The sequence below is a fragment of the Homo sapiens genome, chromosome 11 (genome assembly GCF_000001405.40).
Source record: "Homo sapiens chromosome 11, GRCh38.p14 Primary Assembly".
NCBI lineage: Eukaryota > Metazoa > Chordata > Mammalia > Primates > Hominidae > Homo > Homo sapiens.
This window is the reverse complement of record NC_000011.10, coordinates 28408982-28429980: the sequence shown is the minus strand read 5'-3', so window position 1 is coordinate 28429980 and position 20999 is coordinate 28408982. Positions and strand designations below refer to the sequence as shown.

Sequence of the window (20999 nt, the reverse complement as noted above, 5' to 3'; positions counted from 1 at the left end):
AGACGATGGGCGGCCGGGCAGAGACGCTCCTCACTTCCTAGATGTGATGGCGGCTGGGAAGAGGCGCTCCTCACTTCCTAGATGGGATGGCGGCCGGGCGCAGACGCTCCTCACTTTCCAGACTGGGCAGCCAGGCAGAGGGGCTCCTCACATCCCAGACGATGGGCGGCCAGGCAGAGACGCTCCTCACTTCCCAGACGGGGTGGCGGCCGGGCAGAGGCTGCAATCTCGGCACTTTGGGAGGCCAAGGCAGGCGGCTGGGAGGTGTAGGTTGTAGTGAGCCGAGATCACGCCACTGCACTCCAGCCTGGGCACCATTGAGCACTGAGTGAACGAGACTCCGTCTGCAATCCCGGCACCTCGGGAGGCCAAGGCTGGCGGATCACTTGCGGTTAGGGGCTGGAGACCGGCCCGGCCAACACAGCGAAACCCCGTCTCCACCAAAACCAGTCAGGCGTGGCGGCGCGTGCCTGCAATCGCAGGCACTCAGCAGGCTGAGGCAGGAGAATCAGGCAGGGAGGTTGCAGTGAGCCGAGATGGCAGCAGTACAGTCCAGCTTCGGCTCCGCATGAGAGGGAGACCGTGGGGAGAGGGAGAGGGAGAGGGAGAGGGAGAGGGAGAGGGAGAGGGCTACTGTTTACTCTTTAAGGTTTTATAAGAAGGCACTTTTTACCAATATTTCAAGTTACTCTTGACTTTCGATCTTCTTTAATTGTCATCTAAGGACATACATTATCTCCCCCAAGACATTGCAGTTTCTTGTAAGCAGGGATGCCTTAAACAGGAGTTTGGGTGATGGCAAAATAAAATTGAGAAGAGATACTCAGACTGAGAAACCTATTACACAAAATAGGGTAGGATAAGTAATAAGAGGCTGACCCAGCTGTACTCCAGATGGGCCAGCAGAGCTTGGTTACCATGTAGGAGAGAGGTAGCAGCAGTCCAGTCAGGCAGGCAGTATAATAGGGGGTTAAAAAGTCAGGCAGGGAGAACATGGTGATGAGCCTTCCAGATAAAGGTAATATGAATAGGTGGTCAGCACCAGAGAATTAGCATGGCTCCAGCAGGGCCTGGGCTTTAGGAATAGGATGCCAGGTATCAGGTTATAGGAAGGGGATCTGCCAGTGACAGATGCAGGCTCCAGAAGTACCAGAGTCCTGGGAAAGAAATAAAGATAGGAGAGAACAAGACAGAAACTCTAGAAGTTACTTAAGCTCAGGAATTTGGAGATGTTGGACTAGGTCGAGGATTATGTGCCATATGAGCAGTCAGAATGATGGTCTTGAGCCCCTATGTCAGATATAGAGCAAAGTGCCTCCCAGAGTCCATGTTAGTGTTAGTAGCCAGCTTGTCTCAGGGAGCCATTTATGAGGTTTACAGAAATTAAGCCAGTCCCTGAAATAACTGTAGATTACATATTTTTAAATTCCACCATGGGTTTACATCTAGAGCTCTGCATGTAGAAGACACTTAATTATAACCACATAGAACTAAGTGTATTATATGTGCTAGACACTAGTCTAAGTGCTTGGCATGAGTTATCTCATTTAACCACATCCTAGGATTGTATATACAATTATGCACTAAATAACATTTTGGTCGACAATAGACCACATATGGCAGTGGTCCCAAAAGACCATAATATCATATTTTTACTGTACCTTTTCTATGTCTACCTATGTGTAGACACACACATACTTACCATTGTGTTATAATTGCTTACAGTATTCAGTACAGTAACCTGCTATATAGGTTTATAGCTTAGGAGCAATAGGCTATACTATATAGCCTGAGTGTGTAGTAGGCTATACTATCTAGGTTTGTGTAAGTACACTCTACAACGTTTGTACAAAATTACCTAATGACACATTTATAGAAATGTATCCCTGTCATTAAGCATTTAATTATTGTACTATTATTCCTACTTAATAGAAAGAAAGTCAAGGCCCAAGCACATGAAATAAATTGCCCCAAATCTGGAAAACCAGCACAAAACAAGGATGCTCTCTCTCATCACTCCTGTTCAACGTAGTATTGGAAGTTCTGGCCAGGGCAATCAGGCAAGAGAAAGAAATAAAGGTATTCTAATAGAAAGACAGGAAGTCAAACTATCTTTGTTTGCAAATGACATGATCCCATCCTCTCAGCCCAAAAGCTTCTTAAGCCAATAAGCTACTTCAGCAAAGTCTCAGGATACAAAATCAGTGTGCGAAAATCGCTAGCATTCCTATACACCAACAACAGGCAAGCTGACAGCCAAATCATGAATGAACTCCCATTCCCAATTGCCACAAAAAGAATAAAATACCTAGGAATACAGCTAACAAGGGAAGTGAAGGACCTCTTCAAGAAGAACTACAAACCACTGCTCAAAGAAGTCAGAGAGGACACAAACAAATGGAAAAACATTCCATGCTCATGGATAAGAAGAATCAATATGGTGACAATGGCCATATTGCCCAAAGTAATTTGTAGATTCAATGCTATTCCCATTAAACTACCGTTGACATTATTCACAGAATTGGAAAAAACTATTTTAATATTCATATGGAACCAAAAAAAGCCCAGAGAGCCAAGACAATCCTAAACAAAAAGAACAAAGCTGGAGGCATCACACTACCTGATTTCAAACTATACTACAAGGCTACAGTAATCAAAACAGTATGGTACTGGTTCAAGAATAGACACATAGACCAAGGGAACAGAATAGAGAACCCAGAAATAAGACCACAGACCTACAACCATCTGATCTTTGACAACCTGACAAAAACAAACAATGGGGAAATAATTCCCTATTTAATAAATGGTGCTTGGAGAACTGGCTGGCCAAATGAAGAAAATTGAAAGCGGACTACTTCCTTACACAACATACAAAAATCAATTCAAGATGGATTAAAGACTTAAAGGTAAAACTGGAAACTATAAAAGCCCTGGAAGAAAATCTAGGCAATACCATTCAGGACATAGGCATGGGCAAAGACTTCATGACGAAAACATCGAAAGCAATTGCAACAAAAGCAAAAATTCACAAATGGGATCTAATTAAAGAGCTTCTACACAGAAAAAAAACCTATCATCAGAGTGAACTGTCAACCTACAGAATGAGAAAAAATTTTTGCAATCTATCCATCTGACAAAGGTCTAATATCCAGCATCTACAAGGAACTTAAACACATTTACAAGAAAAAAAAAATAAACAACACCATTAAAAAGTGGGCAAAGGACATGAACAGACACTTCTCAAAAGAGGACATACATTCAGCCAATAAACATATGAAAAAAAGCTCAACAGCACTGATCATTAGAGAAATGCAAATCAAAACCACAATGAGATACCATCTCACACCAGTCAGAATGGCTATTACTAAAAAGTCAAAAAAAAAAAAAAAAAAAAAACAGATGCTGGCAAGGTTACAGAGAAAAAATAATGCTTTTACACTTTTAGTGGGAATGTAAACTAGTTCAACCATTGTGGAAGACAGTGTGGAGATTCCTCAAAGACAGAGGCAGAAATACCATTCGACCCAGCAATCCCATTCCTGGGTATATACTGAAAGGAATATAAATCATTCTATTATAAAGACACATGCAGCACTATTCACAATAGCAAAGATATGGAATCAAACTAAACACCCATCAATGATAGACTGGATGAAGAAAATGTGGCACATATACAATACTATGTAACCATAAGAAGGAACGAGATCATGTCCTTTGCAGGGACATGGATGGAGCTGGAAGCCATTATCCTCAGCAAATTAACACAGGGACAGAAAACCAAATACCGCATGTTCTCACTTATAAGTGGGAGGTGAACTATGAGAACACATGGAAATATGAGGGGGAACAACACACACTGGAGGCCTGTCAGAGTGTGGGTGGGGAGGAGGAAGAGCATTAGGAAGAATAGCTAATGTTGGGCTGAATACCTAGGTGATGGGATGAACTGTGCAGCAAACCACCATGGCACACATTACCTATGTAACAAACCTGGACAACCTGCACATGTACCCCTGAACTTAAAATTTTAAAAAATAAATAAATTGCCCAAAGTCATGCATTGTGCAAATAGTGAAGCTGGAATACAGATTCAAATAGTTTGTCAACAAAACCCAATCTTAAAGCTATATTGCCAATCTTGGTCATACAATTTTATACAAAAAATATTTGCTGAAGTCTTATGTGGCAGACTCTGTGCTAGCTATTAGTGTCTCAACAACAAAAAATATATACAGGTACCATCTATGCCTTTAAGGAGCTTAAAGTGCAATGCATATACGATGCATTAAAGGTAGAAATACTTACTACAACGCTCTGATAGGAGGCTAGCGGGTGCTATGAGAGCACTTAGTACGGGAACCAAATATTCCCTGAAGGTGAGGCCGCTTAGGTGAAGTGATGAACGATTAGAGGTCATAAAAGCAAAGGATGGAGAGGAAGGGGAAAGAACAACTTGTTCAAAGCTCCAAAGACAAAAAGGAGCATAATTCTTTCAAGTTACTGAGGGATACCCTGCATGACAGAAGTTTAGAGTATATAAAACGATGTGAGAAATCAAACAAGAGATGTCACTAGAGAAGTGGACAGAGGCCTGATTATGATTATGCAGGGCCAAGGAGGTGACATTCAGGAGTCTGGACTTCACCTTGAGGGCAAAACTAGGAAAGGATTTAAAGAAGGCAGTAATATGACCAGATGCATATTTTGGAAACATTACTTTGACTTCTGTGTGGAAAGAATGAATAGATGGATGGGTGAATAGATGGAGGGATGGATTGATGGACAGAAAACCAATTCTTGCTCTTTCTACTTCATGAAACAGATTTAAGTAGGTTTTATTGTTCCTACAGCCCATCTGCCTCTCAGTCTTCTGATAGGAACTAGAGCCCAGAAGATATCACCAGAGGCCAAGTCTACCAGCAGGAAAATGATCTTATAAAAACTATGAATGGTTTTCACTTAACAGTGGGTTATTTCCATGCTCTGTATAGACTCATGCTCCCATCCCAGCAAGGAACTTGCTATAGTTTCAACAAGTCTTCTACAACCAACCACTGCTATTACAGTAGCTGTAAACATACGTTTTCTGCTTTTCCCACATCCCTGTAGTGGTACCACAGGTTGAAGCTCAATGAAGAGAAAAAGGGACACAGAGGAAGTCTGGAATGTCTGGTGTCATACCAGCCATGCAAAAAGTCTTGGCCTTATGTGATAAATCATACCTTCCACATCTCTTGGTGGAAGAATTGAAAGAGGGCACATTTCTTCTGTGTGTGGCCTAATGGCTCTCTCCCAACACTAAACAAGCCCATTTAAAGCACAGGTTGGCAGGGGTCACCTTCTTCACCATCACACATGTTTTAACAATCCAGTTACTCATAGAATATAAAAGTTCTGTAACTGACAAGAACCAAACAGCTTTGAAGAGCCCATGCTAATGCTTTTCTGAAGGGATTATGTGTAGACAACTCTAATTGTTGCATTGAACCGATGCCCCTCTTTGCTTCCCTCCTACCTGTCTTTGTCATATGTATCTGCCTTCTCTACCCTTTTACCTCAGGTTATCCTCCATGCAGAAAACTAAGTGGGAGAGAGGGGCCTATAATAGTGACTCACCTTAAGCACCAGCAGACAAAGCAAAAGGTGATGCTTTTAGATCTTTTTCCGAAGAACATGTGCAGCCTAGAAACAGAAAGGGCAAATGTTCAGGAAAAAAGAAAACAAGCAACATGCTAGACATTTTTAGTTTTCTGTAAGATGAAGTTAAGATATTTTTACTTATTAGCAAGACTAGTTTAAGAAAATTTTTCAGTCATTATGTCTATAAAAATGATGGAACATTAACATCATACGAAAATGACAAATGCAGATGTCAGTAGGGAGAACATATTGAACAGTATAAAGGGCTCTAAAAATGCAAAGCATATGGCTAGGTTTTATGGAAGTTTTTTGTTTGTTTCTTTGGGGTTTTTTAAAAAAAAGTTTTATGAGTACATAATAGGAGTATATGTTTATGGGGTATATGGGATATTTTGATATAAGCATGCATGTGTAATAATCACATCAGAGTGCATGAGGTATCCATCACCTCACACATTTATCTTTTGTGTTACAAACAATTCAATTATACTTTTAGTTATATTAAAATGTACAGTTAAATTATTAATTACAGTCATCCTGTTGTGCTATCAAATACTAGGTCTTACTCATTCTTTCCAACTATTTTTTTGGCCCCTTTAACTATCCCTACTACTCTCCATTCCCCTGCTACCCTTCCCAGCCTATGGTAACCATCCTTCTACTCTCTATCTCCATCAGTTCAATTGTTTTAATTCTTAGCTTCCCAAAATAAGTGAGAAAATGTGAAGTTTGTCTTTCTATTCTTGGATTATTTCACTTAACATAATAACCTCCAGTCTATCCATGTTGTTGCAAATGATAGGGTCTCATTATTTTTTATGGTTGAATAATACTCCATTGTGTAAATATACTATATTTTCTTTATTCATTTGTCTGTTGATGGACACTTAGGTTGTTTCCAAATCTTGGCTATTGTGAGTAGTGTTGCAATAAACATAGGGGTCCAGGTATCTCTTCATTCAATACATTGATTTTCTTTTTTTGGGGGGGTATCTACCTAGCATTGGGATTGATGGATCACATGATAGCTCTGTTTTTAGTTCTTTGAGGAACTTCCAAAATGTTCTCCATAGTGGTTGTACTAATTTACATTTCAACAACAGTGTATAAGGGTTCTCTTTTCTCTACATCCTTGAAAGCATTTGTTAGTGACTGTGTTTTGGATAAAAGTTATTTTAACTGAGATGAATTGAGATGTCATTATCATTTTGATTTGTGTTTCTCTGATAAGTGATGTTGAACATTTTTATATACCTGTTTGCCATTTGTATGTCTTCTTTTAAGAAATGTCTATTCATATCTTCTGCCCATTTTAAAAATTGGATTATTGTTTTTTTTCCCCTATAAAATTTGTTTGAGCTCCTTATATACTCCATTTTTTAACCCCTTGTTAGATGGGTAGTTGCAAACATTTTCTCCCATTCTATGGGCTGTTTTCTTTACTTTGTTGATTGTTTCCTTTGCTATGAAGAAACATTTTAGCTTGATATGATCCCATTTGTCCATTTTTGCTTTGGTTGCCTGTCCTTGTGGGGTATTACTCAAGAAATCCTTGCCTAGTCAAGGTTCTGAAGAGTTTCTCCAATGTTTTCTATTAGCAGTTTCATAGTTTGTGGTCTTAGATTTAAGTTTTTAATCCCTTTTGATTTTATTTTTGTATATGGCAAGGGATAGAGGTTTAATTTGATTCTTCTGCATATAAATATCCAGTTTTCACAGCATCATGTATTACACAGACTGTCCTTTTCCCAGTGTATGTTCTTGGCACCTTTGTGGAAAATCAGTTCACTGTAGATATATGTACAGATTTGTTTCTGAGTTCTCTATTCTGTTCATTTCTTTGGTCTATGTGTCTGTGTTTATGCCAGCACCATGCTGTTTTTGTTACTATAGCTCTGTAGTGTAATTTGAAGTGAAGCAACATAACTCCTCCAGTATTGTTCTTTTTGCTCAGTATAGTTTTGGATATCTGGGTCTTTTGTAGTTCCACATAAATTTTAGGATTGTTTTTTTCTATTTCTGTGAAGAATGTCATTGGTATTTTGATAGAGATTGCATTAAATCTATATATTGCTTTGGGTAGTATGGACATTTTAACAATATTGATTCTTCCAATCCATAAACATGTAATAGCTTCCATTTTTTGTATCCCCTTCCATTTCTTTTATCAATGTTTTATAGTTTTCATTGTAGAAATATTTTACTTCTTTTGTTAAATGAATTCCTAGTTATTTAATTTTATATATAGCTATTGTAAATGGAATTACTTTCTTGATTTCTTTTCCAGATTGTTTGCTGTTGGCATATAAAAATGCTACTGATTTTTGTATGCTGATTTTGTATCCTGCAACTTTACTGAATGTGTTTATTAGTAATAGTAGTTTTTTGGTTGGGTCTATACGGTATTCCAAATATAAGATCATATCATTAGCATAAAAGGATAACTGGACTTATTCCTTTCCAATTTGGATGCCCTTTATTTCTTTCTCTTGTCTGATTGATCTAGCTAGGACTTACAGTACTATGTTGAATAACAGTAGTGAAGGTGGCATCCTTGTCATGTTCAAGATCTTGGAGGAAAGGGTTTCTGTTTTTTTCCCATTTGTTGTGATACTAGTTGTGAGTCTGTCATATACGGTTTTTATTACATCTATGTCATTTTTTAGGGTTTTTATCATGCAGATGTTAAATTTTTTCAACTGCTTTTTCACATCAATTGAAATGATCATATGGATTTTGTCCTCCATTCTGTTGATATGCCATATGACACTGATACATTTGCATATGTTGAATGATTTTTGCATCTCTGGGATAAATCCCACTTGGTCATGATGAATGATCTTTTCAAAGTGTTGCTGAATTCAGTTTGCTTGTATACTGTTGACGATTTTTGTATTAATATGCATCAGAGATATTGAACTATAGTTTTCTTTTTTTGGTGTGTCTTTTGTTTTGGTAGCAGGGTAATACTGGCCTCATAGAATGAGTTTGGAAGTATTACTTCCACCTCTATTTTTCATAATAGTTTGAGTAGGATTGATATTAGTTCTTCTTTAAATGTTCGGTAAAATTCAGCAGTGAATCCGCCAAGACCTAGGCTTTTTTCTGCTGGGAGATGTTTTTTATTATGGTCTTGATCTTATTACTTGCTATTGCTCTGTTCCGGTGTTGGATTTCTTCATGGTTCAATCTTGGTAGGCTGTGTGTATCTAGAAATTTTATTCATTTCTTCTAGGTTTCCCAATTTATTCACATATAGTTGCTCAAGTAGTCTCTAATTTGACTATTAATTTGAGTTTTTGCAGTATAGGTTGAATGTCTCCCATTTCATCTCTGACTTTTTTGGGGTCTTCTCTCTTTGTTTCTTAGCTAATCTGGCTAAAAGGTTGTCAATTTTGTTTATCTTTTTAAAAAAAACAACTTTTAGTTTATCTTTTCTATTGTTTCTTCATTTCAATTTCATTTATTTCTGCTCGGATCTTTGTAATTTCTTCTACTAACTTTGGATTTGGTTTGCTCTTGCTTTCCTAGTTCTTTAGGATGCATTGCTGGGTTGTTTATTGGAAGTTTTTCGTCTTTTTTGATGTAGGCACTTATAGCTATAAACTTCACTGTTAGTACTGCTTTTGCTCTATCCCATAGTTTTTGGAATGTTGTGTTTCCATTATGATTTGTTTCAAATAAATTTTCAGTTTTCTTATTAATCTCTTCATTGACCTACCAGTTATTCAGGAGCATATCATTTAATATCCATGTATTTGTACAGTTTCCAGAATTCCTCATTATTGATTGCTAGTTTTATTCCATTGTGGTCAGAGAAGATACTTAATATTATTTTAACATTTTTGAATGTTTTAAGACTTGTTTTGTGGACTAACATAAGGTCCATCCTTGAGAATGATCCATTTGTTAAGGGAAAGAATGTGTATTCTACAGTCATTGGATAAAATGTTCTGTAAATAACTATTAGATCATTTGATCTACAATGCAGATTAAGTCCAATGTTTCTTTGTTGATTTTCTGTCTGGAAGATCTGTCCAGTGCTGAAAGTAGGGTGATGAATTGTGTAGTTATTACTGTATTGGGAGTATAGCTCTCTCTTTAGCTCTAATGGTATTTGTTTTATATATCTGGGTGTTCCAGTGTTGGTGCGTATATATTTTAACTTTCTTGTACTTGAATATTGATATATTTCTCTAGGTTTGGAAAGGTCTCTGTTAGTATCTCTTTAAATAAACTTTCTAACTTTGTCTCTTTCTCTGTCTTTTCTTTAAGGCCAATAACTCTTAGATTTATCCCTTTTGGGCTATATTTTCTAGATCTTGTAGACGGTCTTCATTCTCTTTTATTCTTTTTTCCTTGTCTCTTCTGACTGTGTATTTTTGAATAGCCTGTCTTCATGCTCACTAATTCTCTCTTCTGTTTGATCAATTCTACTATTAGGAGACTTTGATACATTCTTCAATATGTCAATTGCATTTTAAATTTGAGAATTTCTGCTTGATTCCTTTTAATTATTTCAATTTCTTTGTTAAATTTATCTGATAATATTCTGAATTCCTTCTCTGTGTTATCTGGGGTTTCTTTGAGTTTCCTCAACATAGCTATTTTGAATTATCTGTCTGAAAATTCACATATCTCTGTCTGTCCAGGATTGGCCTCTCACACCTTATTTAGTTCATTTGGTAAGGTCATGTTTTCCTGGATGATATTGATGCTTGGGGATGTTTGTCAGTATCTGGGCATTGAAGAGTTGTGTATTTATGGTAGTCTTCACAGTCTGGACTTGTTTGTATCTGTCCTTCTTGGGAAGGCTTTCCAGGTATTCAAAGGTACTTGGGTGTTGTGATCTATGTTTTTGGTCACTGCAGCCATATCTGTATTAGGGGGCACCATATGCTCAGTAGCACTGTGGTTGTTGTAGACGTGTAGAGATACCTCCTTGGTGGTCTTGGACAAAATCTGGAAGAATTTTATAGATTACCAGGCAGAGACTCTTGCTCTCTTCCCTTACTTTTTCCCAAACAGTCTCTCTCTCTTCCTCTCTATGCTGAGCTGCCTGGAGCTGGGGGAGAGGTCACACAGGTGACCACTCCTATGGTCACCACCACTGGGACTGCACTGGGTCAGACCTGAAACTGGCATAGCACTGGGTATTGCCCAACACTTGCTGTAATCACTACTTGGCTATTGCCTATGTTCACTCAAGGCTCTAGGGCTCTACAATCAGCAGGTGATACAAGCAGTTCTTTAGCTACCTTGGCTGGTGTCTCACTAGGTCGCATGCTCCCCCAAGTCCATTGGCAAAGCACAGCACTAGGACTTGCTGGGGAGTTGCAGTCCTTTTGGGCCTAAACTGCCTTTCAAGTTTATTTAGAACCCCCCAGAACACTTTAGCCCACAGTGGCAAGGCTTGATGAAACTTAAGTTCTGACCACTGGGATGGGTGATTTCCCTCTGGCTAGGGCTGGTCGAAATGTTCTTTCCATAAGTCTTGGTTGAGTTCTGCGTGATGTTGGCAGCACTGAGTTCCAATGCAAAGTCCCACATTCACTGCACTTTGCCTGCCCTAATTGCCACAGATTATCTCTCTGAACCATGTAGCCACTGCAGAAGGATGGGGGAGGGGTGGTGTTGACAATTCAAAACTGTCTTTTCTACCCCTTTCAATGCCTCTTTCAGCAACATAAAGCTAAAACCAGGTACTGTGATTGCTCATCTGATTTTTAGCGTTTATGAAGGGCTATTTTGTATAGACAGTTGTTAAATTTGGTGTTCCTGCAGAGAGGACGATCGGCAGAGGCTTCTATTGAGCCATCATGCTCTGTCTCTGGCTAGGTTTTTCATTAGCCCCATCTAACTATGGCATCCAACCTCTAGTCAATATTCTATCATCCATCTTCAAAATAGACCCACTGAAAAGAAGCACTTCACCTACATGAAACTCAGTAATCCAGCAATCCCATTTTACTGAGACATAAAGAAAGAAAGTAAAATGGGCCACTGATCAGGCAAAGGTGCTATAATAAAGCTCGTGGACCTTTCTCACAAGAACGCTCCTGGAGGTAACAGTTGGAGTCAATTTGCTTGTATTTTAGGCACAAGTTTAACGAGCGTGATTGTCTGGTTTCCCAGTTCAAGGAATCCCAGAGGCAGCAGGTCATCAGAGAGACATACACTGGCAGTATCAAAGAGTGACAGCTGGCAGTATCAAAGACTGACAGCTGGCAGCCTGAGAGTTGATGAAGAGGACAGAAAAACTCTGAAAACTTGATACCAGAACTCCAAACCGGATCCCCCACAGGTTCAAACACAGAGCCCTGCACTCAATAGGCTCTATTAAAGCCTGTTAGAATAATTTATGATTGAGTCATCAAGATAAGATCAAATTAGAATGTTCTATTTAATAAAGCAGGGAAGTATATATATATTTTCAAAGATGTTCACCAAAAATAGTTTAGATGAACCTATTTTTATACATATGAACTTTGTAACCAGAACAACTCATTTCCTTAATGTTCCAGATAGATAGTTGACATTTGACTGTACATTGGTCATGTTCCAATTTTAATCCTCAGCCACCTGCCCCTCAGTGGCCAGGGAGTCACACTCAGGAAACACAAAGGCATTATGCTAATACTATCCTAAGTTTAACAAAATTAGGTAGATAAATCTGCCACCCCCTCCAAGAAAAATTACACACTGCCACTCCAACCTCAAACATATGACTCCAGACTTATCTATGCTACTGCCTACTGCCAATCATATGTAACATATGTTAGCATGTGCATTGACAAAGTTTAAATCATATTTCAGCCGACCACTTAAGAAGACATTATTCTAATCTAACAATCTGAGCTTTTTGTGATTTGATTTATCTTCGAGTCCCTTGAGCCAGATTCTCAAGAAATCAAATAATTGCCATCCAATATTACTGAACTATTGAACCTGGAAGACAAAGACAATAGATTGGGACTTAAAATATGGAGCAAATACTACCATAAGTGATATTTTATTTTGCATTATTCTTTTTGCAAATACTAACAATGGAAAAATCAGGGTCACCAAAATCAGAGCAAACTTGAGATAAGAATTCTGCTGGATGGAATGCTTTTTATGCCTTTTACATAAGTCTAAGACATAGTCCTGCCTCCAGAGATGGCATGTACAACACCCCTGTTCTCTCCCATAACCATGGAAGATATAAAAAATCAAGAAAGTGCTTTTTCTCACTAAGGCCAGACATAGCCTCAGAATCATTTACAACAGAGTTCTCCAAATAGCTGTGATTAATAAATCCACAGTGGTGGTTTTATTACAGAAGGCATGGGTGGGGAGGTAAAGCAGTAGTATCCAAGTTGTTTCTATTTTTATCTCAATAAATGATTCTTTCCAAAGATGTTACAGAGGTTTGGGTTTCCTGTGGTCACACATTTCAATCTACATCTAATTTGTCTTCCTAAGTAATAGAAACTGTAAAGACCAAACTGCATTTTCAGCTAAGTTTCTACCCTGTTTTAGGTTCCATCAAGAGATGGTGGCCTTGCAGGAAGAGATTGGAACTCCTGGCAAACACAGGGTCAGAAGAATTTGTTTCTCCTGAGGCAGCTGGGAGCAAAGTTTGACAGTCCAGTCTCTGGTATCAGAGCTACAAAAGAGCAAAGTATCTGTGGAAGCCAGATTTATTTTTAACAAGTCCCTTATGGTGTTTGGGCAATTTACTGGGCTGAATTATTTCTGAATGGGCAATTCACCTATACCTGGTTTCACTCTTAGATACAGGCAAGAGAGGCTCCTGTTCTGGACCCAACATGTTAGAGGTTTCTCACTGACTTCAGAACCTTTACATGGAGTGAGGAGTATGTGAGACTAAGGGGACATACTTAATTGGAGCTCTAGCCCCAGATGGTGCCCCAGGAAACATGGACCCATATTCTTTACCCAAATGGCCCTGAGCTTGCTTCCAGGGTCTGTGTGGATCTCTTCCCTGGGACCATTTTTCTCAGAGTGTCCCACTCCACCAGTGTGGGCACCTTTAGATCTGACAGTGACCACAGGGCAACTTGTTGCCAGGGGTATAGATAGAGCTTGAACACGTGGGCTATAGTCTGCACACACAGGCACACAAGGTGCTTGCAGCACAGAATGAAGCCAGAGATGGGCAGAGAAGGGCCGGGAACATGGGTTGGGAGCTGAGGCTATGCTTTCCCCAAGGTACTACGCTTGGGTGAGAAACCCAGAGAAGTCTATTGTAAAGTCAATCTGGACTTTCCAGGTAATTTCAGAGGTACATTTCTCAAAGGAGAATAGTAAATATTTTATTTAACGATTTGAAGATTAGATTTAACTTTTAAGTATTTAGACATATGTTATGTGTGTCTCTACTTGTACTTTTATCTCAGGCCCCACAAATTTTACAAGTAAGACTGCTTAGTTCTTTCTCCCTCCTGTAAATTCTGTAAGCTACCTTGTATCCTATAATAAACCCCTTTCTGCCTAAGCTACCTAACATGGATTCTATTTTCTAACATCAAGAATCCTGGCTACTACAGCTCCCTAGATGTTTAGAAGGAGATGCTATTATCCTTTTCTTATACCTAAGTCTATATCAGCTCAAGGAATTGATGTAGACTTCATCAAATCAACTCTTCCAGTATCAACTATAGCTTCTATTTGTTGTGAGTGACTCTTCCCATTCCCAAGGCTCTGTACTGTAGTAGAAAGAGTACTGAAGGTTGAATGAGAGCATGGGTTGGAGACCTAGCTCTAACACTCACCAGTTGTGCCACTTTGAACAAGTCATTTTTGACCTCTCTGAAACTATTTTCTCACCTGATGATTGAATAAGATAATGTGTATACATATTCTTCATTGAAAAGCACTGTGCAAATGTAATATTTCCATTTCTAATGCTGGAACTAAGAAAATAGCTAATAATAGCTGGATTCATAGCTATATTCCCTGTGGTGTGTTCTCAGATACCTTTTCTTTTATTTTCTTCAAAAACTGCTCTAGCTACTTCCCCCTAGATAACCAAATCTACTGTCCTAACTATGACTCCATTAGAAAATATTTCTAGAAAGTCATTCAGATGTTTCCATTCGCCAATTCCATTTTGGCACTGCAAGTTCTAACTCTATATACTACAGAAAACCATTTCTCCCTTGCTTGCTATTTAAAGTCTTCAAGAACTTGTCAAGCATTATTATGTCATACTCACCCTACTCTGGGATTTAATCATATATTTCATCCACTTCAAAACATATTAATTTTCTGGAGTGCCCAATGACATGATCCACAATAGTAGAGATAAGGATTCAAGCATTTAAGTTCCTGTTGGGTTTTCTTGATTTTCTGAATCTTAAGGAATCTTCTACAGTTAGTCCTACAGCAATGCAAGCTTCAAATAGCTTTCACAACACAATGTATTTTCTTTTCATCATATTTTTCGGATTAAGAATCTACTACAATAGCAGTCTATGCTAGCAGGAAGATAAGCTTTCTGTGGCTTATAATCTTGGAAAAGTAAACACTTCAAAAGTCATTTTGATGGCATCTTTCAATTAAATGCCTAAGTATCTATGATGATATCAGCAAGAACTGCATTAGATAATTTCTATTTTCAAAAGATTTGTCTAGTTTCCTATTTTCCTCACCAAATAGTTCTGTGAAGTTCTCAAAAACAAAAAATAAACGACTAAACAAAAAATTGACATTGTAGAACCATTGAAACATGGCATCAAATAGTTGAAACTACATAGAACCTCTGAGAAAATGCTTTAAACTTTGAAACAATTAATATTGCCATAGATGCTGTGGCTGGGAGCTTGGGTGTGTTGGCTCTATTCCTTGCCCCTCTTCAGATTAGGTCTCTATCTATCATAGGCTGGGGGAAGAACGGAGCCCTGCAGTCTATATTTCCCAGCATCCCAGATAAGCTGTCTTCTAATTGAGTTTTAACAGAGGGAGGCACTGGCAGGAGATTGAACAGGTTCGGAAAGAGAAGTTAGGGTATTTCTCTTTCTGCTTGTTTGAATTAAGAAGTACCTTCTCAGAAGTTGCTTCCCCTGTATGTTTCCTGCTCCTTGCTTTCATTGCTTGGCAAGTTTGTCTTAGCTCCAGGTTCCATCAGGTGACCACTGCTCCTGAGCAGTAACACTGCCTACATTTTTTTATCTTTCCAGCATACAACTGTGGTTGCTGCTGTTTAACTTTGGTTTGCCTTAACATTCCCTCTTTGATCCTCACCAACTTCATCACCTGTATAATAATTTCTCTGAATAAAATTCACTGTGTTGAAAAGTCTTAAAGTCATTTCCACTTTCTTGGTTAGACTGATGGATAATATAATGCCTTGGACTTTGAAACAATGCATATAACTATTAGTGCACAAATAGGAATGTTAAGAAACTCTGCACTACATGATACGGAACATAAATTCTAGAAAATCTGCCACAGCAAGAAGACTAGATTAGAGGGACCACGGAAAAGAATAAGAATCCAGAGATTTGACTATCTTTCTTTAAAATTTTTTCTCTCTAGTTGAAACAATGTCTAAGTGAGTAGTGAGTGCACTGATAGTCACTAGCCTATTTTAAATTCTGATATTAGGCCAGTAGGTTTATTGTCTAGTATGAGCCACATTAAGATGTTCATTAGAATAGCTAAGAGACATTGCCTCCTATTCCTTCAATCCATCTGACCAACCCTTTCTCTTCCATGAAAATTACCATTTCTAGAGTCAGAAGAAAAGGGGCAGTACAAATGCTCAGCAATTCATAAGTCATTAGTATTAGAACGTGAGACCCATTTCATCCTTTTATTTCAATAAGAGTGTTTTCTATGTGGAGAAAAAACTGTGCAGATTTGCATATACATTATTTTGTTTTACCTGTAAAAATTATATCTCGCAGGAAACGAATATAAATCTTTTTTTAAGTGGAAATGTGTCTTTCCAAAATCAGTTTATGAAACATCTTAGTCCAAAAGTTTAGTTTGTAAAAAGGAATTTTAAACAAATTTAGGGAAGGAATACTATCATTTTCAGGGAAGCTAAAATTAAATGAGGAGGTAAGAATGGTAATTAAGAGGTAAAGAATAAAAACTACTAAATATCTGTTTTGATGAAATAGATATGATGGCTAACTGAGCCCATATATAAATGGTATTAAATGGGTATAAATGGGTATTCCAGTTTGAGACAAAGATGGAAAACCACTTATTTAGTAGTATTTTTTTGTCTCAAAAGGAAAACATATTTGTTCTAAAAAAACTTTTAATGAATTTTATTGTGTATAGTTGAAGTTTACAAATGATATTATGGGATGTATTACATTTTATGCATATAGATACATAGATATATATAGATAGTATAATGGTTACTATAGTGAAGCCTATTAATATATATATATCATTTCACATAGTTACTATTGTATATGTGACAGGAGCAGTTAAAATTTACTCATTTAACAAGATCTCTAATACCATACAATTTTTTAACTTGAGTCCTCATGTTGTACTTTAGCTCTCCAGACTTGTTCATTCTATGCATCAGCTATTGTATATTCTTGAACTAAATCTCCCCATCTCCTCCCCTCTGACCTCCACCTATGGTACCAATGTTTCATTCTCTGTCCCTGTGCTTCTAAGCTCTCTTTTTAATATATTCCACATATCAGTGAAGTCATGCAATAGTTTTCTTTCTGCGTTTGGTTTATTTTACTTAGTGTAATGTCTTCCAGTTCCAGCCATATTGTGGCAAATGTCAGAATCTCTTTTTAAGGCTGAATAACCTTCCATTATTCCATGTATATTCTGATATTATGGAAAGTGATATATGTATCACCTTAATTATATATCACCATAACAGAAAATGTGAGCTCTCTCTCTCTCTCTCGTTTGGTCTCTTTCTCTCTCTCTCTCTGTCTCTCCTTTATATATATATAACATTTTCATATATTATATATAACATTTTCTTTATCCATTCCTCTGTTCCAGGCATTCATTTCCATATTTTGACCATTGTAAATAATGCTGCAATAATCATGGGCATGCACACATCCTTATGAGGTGGTAATTTCATCTCCTTTGGGTATATACCCAGAAGACAGACTGCTGAGTCATAAGGTAGTTTTATTTTTAATTTCTCTGGAAAACTCCCTACAGTTTTCCATAATGGCTATACCAATCTACATTACTAACAGCAATATACTACAGTTCCCCTTTCTCCATACCCTCATTAACATTTCTTATCCCTAATCTTTTTGATAATAGCCACCCTTACAGGTGTGAGGTGATATCTCATAGTGGTTTTAATCTGCATTTCCCTTGTGATTAGTGCTGCAGAGTATCTTTTCACATACCTGCTGGCCATCTTCACATCTTCTTTAGGGAAATGTCTGTTCAGGTCCTTTGGCCATTTTAAAATCAGGTTGTTTGTTTTCCTGCAATTGAATTGTAAAAGTTCTTTATAAATTTTGGATATTAACCCCTCATCAGATAAGTGGCTTGCAATTATTATTTTCCAGTTCAGAAGGTTTCTTTTTCATTTTGTTGATTGTGGTCTCTGCTGTGCAGATTTTTAGTTTAATGTAGTCCCATTATTTATTTACTTATTTATTTGGTACCTGAGCTTTTAGTGTGATATTAAAGAAAAAATCATTGTCAAGTCCAAGATCAAGGAGCTTTTCTCCTATGTCTTCTAGGAATTTTAGAGCTTCAAGTCTTACATTTATTTAGGTCTTTTATCCATCCATTTTGAGTTGATTTCTGTGTATGATCTAAGGGTTGAATTTCATTCTTTTGCATGTAGAAATACAGTTTTCCCAACATTATTTATTAAAGAGACTATTGTTTCCCCTTCGTGACTTCTTGATGCCCTTGCTGAAAATTAGTTGTCCACATATGTTTGAATTTATTTCTGGGCTTTCTATTCTGTGTTCCCTTGGTCTATATTTCTGTTTTTATGCCAGTACTATGCTATTTTGATTACTATAGCTTTGTAACATGATTTTAAATCAAGATGTGATGCCTCCAACTTTTATTTGTATTTATTTGGCTATTGGCGATTTTTTTGTAGTCCCATATGAATTTTAGAATTTTTTCTTTTTCTGTGAAGAGCACCATTAGAATTTTGATGGCGATTATGTTAAATCTGTATATTGCTTTGGGTAGTATGAATATATTAACAATATTAATTCTTCTTATTCATGAACATTGATATACCTTTCCATTTATTTGTGTTCAATTTCTTTCATTAGTGTTTTATGGTGTTCAGTGTACAAATCTTTCACCTCCTTGGTTAAATTTATTCCTGGCTATTTTTTGAAGCTATTGTAAACGGAATTTAAAATTTTTTCTTTAGCAAGGTTGTTTGTATGTATAGAAATGCTATTTGTATGTTGATTTTGTACCCTGTAACTTTACTAAAATCATTTATTAGTTCTTACAGTTTTTATGTAATCTTTGGGGTTTTCTGCCTATAGAATCATATTATCTGAAAATAAAGACAATTTTACTTCTGCTTTTCCAATTTGCATACCTTTTATTTCTTTTTCTTGTGTAATTTTTCTTGCCAGTATTTCCAGTACTATGTTGAATGGAAGTGGTGAAAGCAGGCATCCCTGTCTTGTATCTGATCTTAGTGGAAAAGCTTTCCATTTTTCCCTGTTGATTATCATGTTAACTGTTAGTTTTTCTTAAATGGGCTTTATTATGTTAGAAATATTCCTTCTATACCTAAACTGTTGAGTTTTCATCAAGAAAGAATGCTGAATGTTGTCAAATATTAATATTTTTTGAGTCAATTGAGATGATCAAGTGTTTATACTTTTTATTCTGTTGGTGTGATGTATCACACTGATTGATTTGCATATGTTAAATCAGTCTTGCAGGCAGGGATAAATCCCACATGGTCATAATGTATAGTCTCTTTGATGTGTTGTTGAATTCAGTTTGCTACTATTTTATTCAGGATTTTTGCATCAATGTTCATTAGAAATATTGGCCACGTGTTTTTCTTTTCTTGCAATGTCTGTCTAGCTTAGGTATCAAGGTGATGCTGGCCTCGTCAAAATGTGTTTAGAAGTATGAGGTATTACTTCTAGCTCTATTTTTTGAAAGAATTTAAAAATTATTGGTAATCATTCTTCTTTGTATGTTTGGCAGTAATCAGTAGTGAATCCATCTGGTCCTGGGCTTTTCTTTGTTGGAAGGTTTTTAGTTATCTCTTCAATCTCTTTATTTGTTATTGATATGTTCAAGCTTTCTATTTCTTCCTGACTGAATCTTGAGAAGTTACATTTTTAAGGAATTTATCCATTGTCTCTGGTTTATCTAATTCATTTGCATAGAGTTTTTCATAATAATCCTTTATGATTCTTTGTATTTCTCATGTATCTTTGTAATGTCTCCATTTTCATTTCTGATTTTATTGAGTGTTCTCTATTTTCCTTAGTCTAGCTAGGGTTTTGTTGATTTTACTTTTTCAAAAAACCAACTCTTGGTTTTGTTAATTTGTTTTCTATTATTTTTCTATTTTCTATTTATTTCTGTTCTGATTTTTATTTCCTTCCTTCTGCTAACTTTGCGGTAAGTCTGTTTTTCTTTTTCTAGCTCCTCTATAATGAAGTGTAACATAAGACAATTTATTTGAGGTATTTTTCTTCTTTTTTAATGTAGGAGTGTATTGCTATAAACTTCCCTCTTAGACTGCTTTTGCTGCATCCCATAGATTTTGATATGTTGTGTTTCCATTGTCATCTGTCTTAAGATACTTTAAAATTTGCCTTTTGGGTCCTGCTTTGATCCATTTGTTGTTCAGGAGCATGTTGCTTAATTTCCACATATTTGTGAATTTTCCATATTTCTCCTGTTATTAATTTCTAGTTCATAACATTGTAATCAGAAACCATATTACATATGATATAAATATTCCTTTTTTTTTTTTTTTTTTTTTTTTGAGACGGAGTCTCGCTCTGTCTCCCAGGCTGGAGTGCAGTGGCATCATCTCGGCTCACTGCAAGCTCTGCCTCCTGGGTTCATGCCATTCTCCTGCCTCAGCCTCCCGAGTAGCTGGGACAACAGGCGCCTGTCACCCCGCCAGGCTAATTTTTTGTATTTTTAGTAGAGACGGGGTTTCACCATGTTAGCCAGGATGGTCTCGATCTCCAGACCTCGTGATCCGCCCACCTCAGCCTCCCTAAGTGCTGGGATTACAGGCGTGAGCCACTGCGCCCAGCCCGATTTAAATATTCTTAAAATAAAAATTGTTTTGTGGCCTAAAACATGATCTATCCTGGAGAATGTTCCATATGTACTAAAAAAGAACGTATATTCTGCTGCTGTTGGATGAAAAATTC

At 37.2% G+C, this 20999-nt stretch overlaps 1 protein-coding gene across 2 annotated transcripts in view; it reads right to left on the bottom strand.

The window, feature by feature from the left end:
* Positions 1 to 20999, bottom strand: part of METTL15 (methyltransferase 15, mitochondrial 12S rRNA N4-cytidine) — a 424088-nt gene that overhangs the window by 102495 nt on the left and 300594 nt on the right. For both annotated transcript variants that reach the window (XR_007062458.1, XR_930849.3), the window contains one exon: positions 5617 to 5682. The gene's annotated coding sequence lies outside the window, so the exon portion shown is untranslated. The remainder of the gene's footprint in view (positions 1 to 5616; positions 5683 to 20999) is intronic.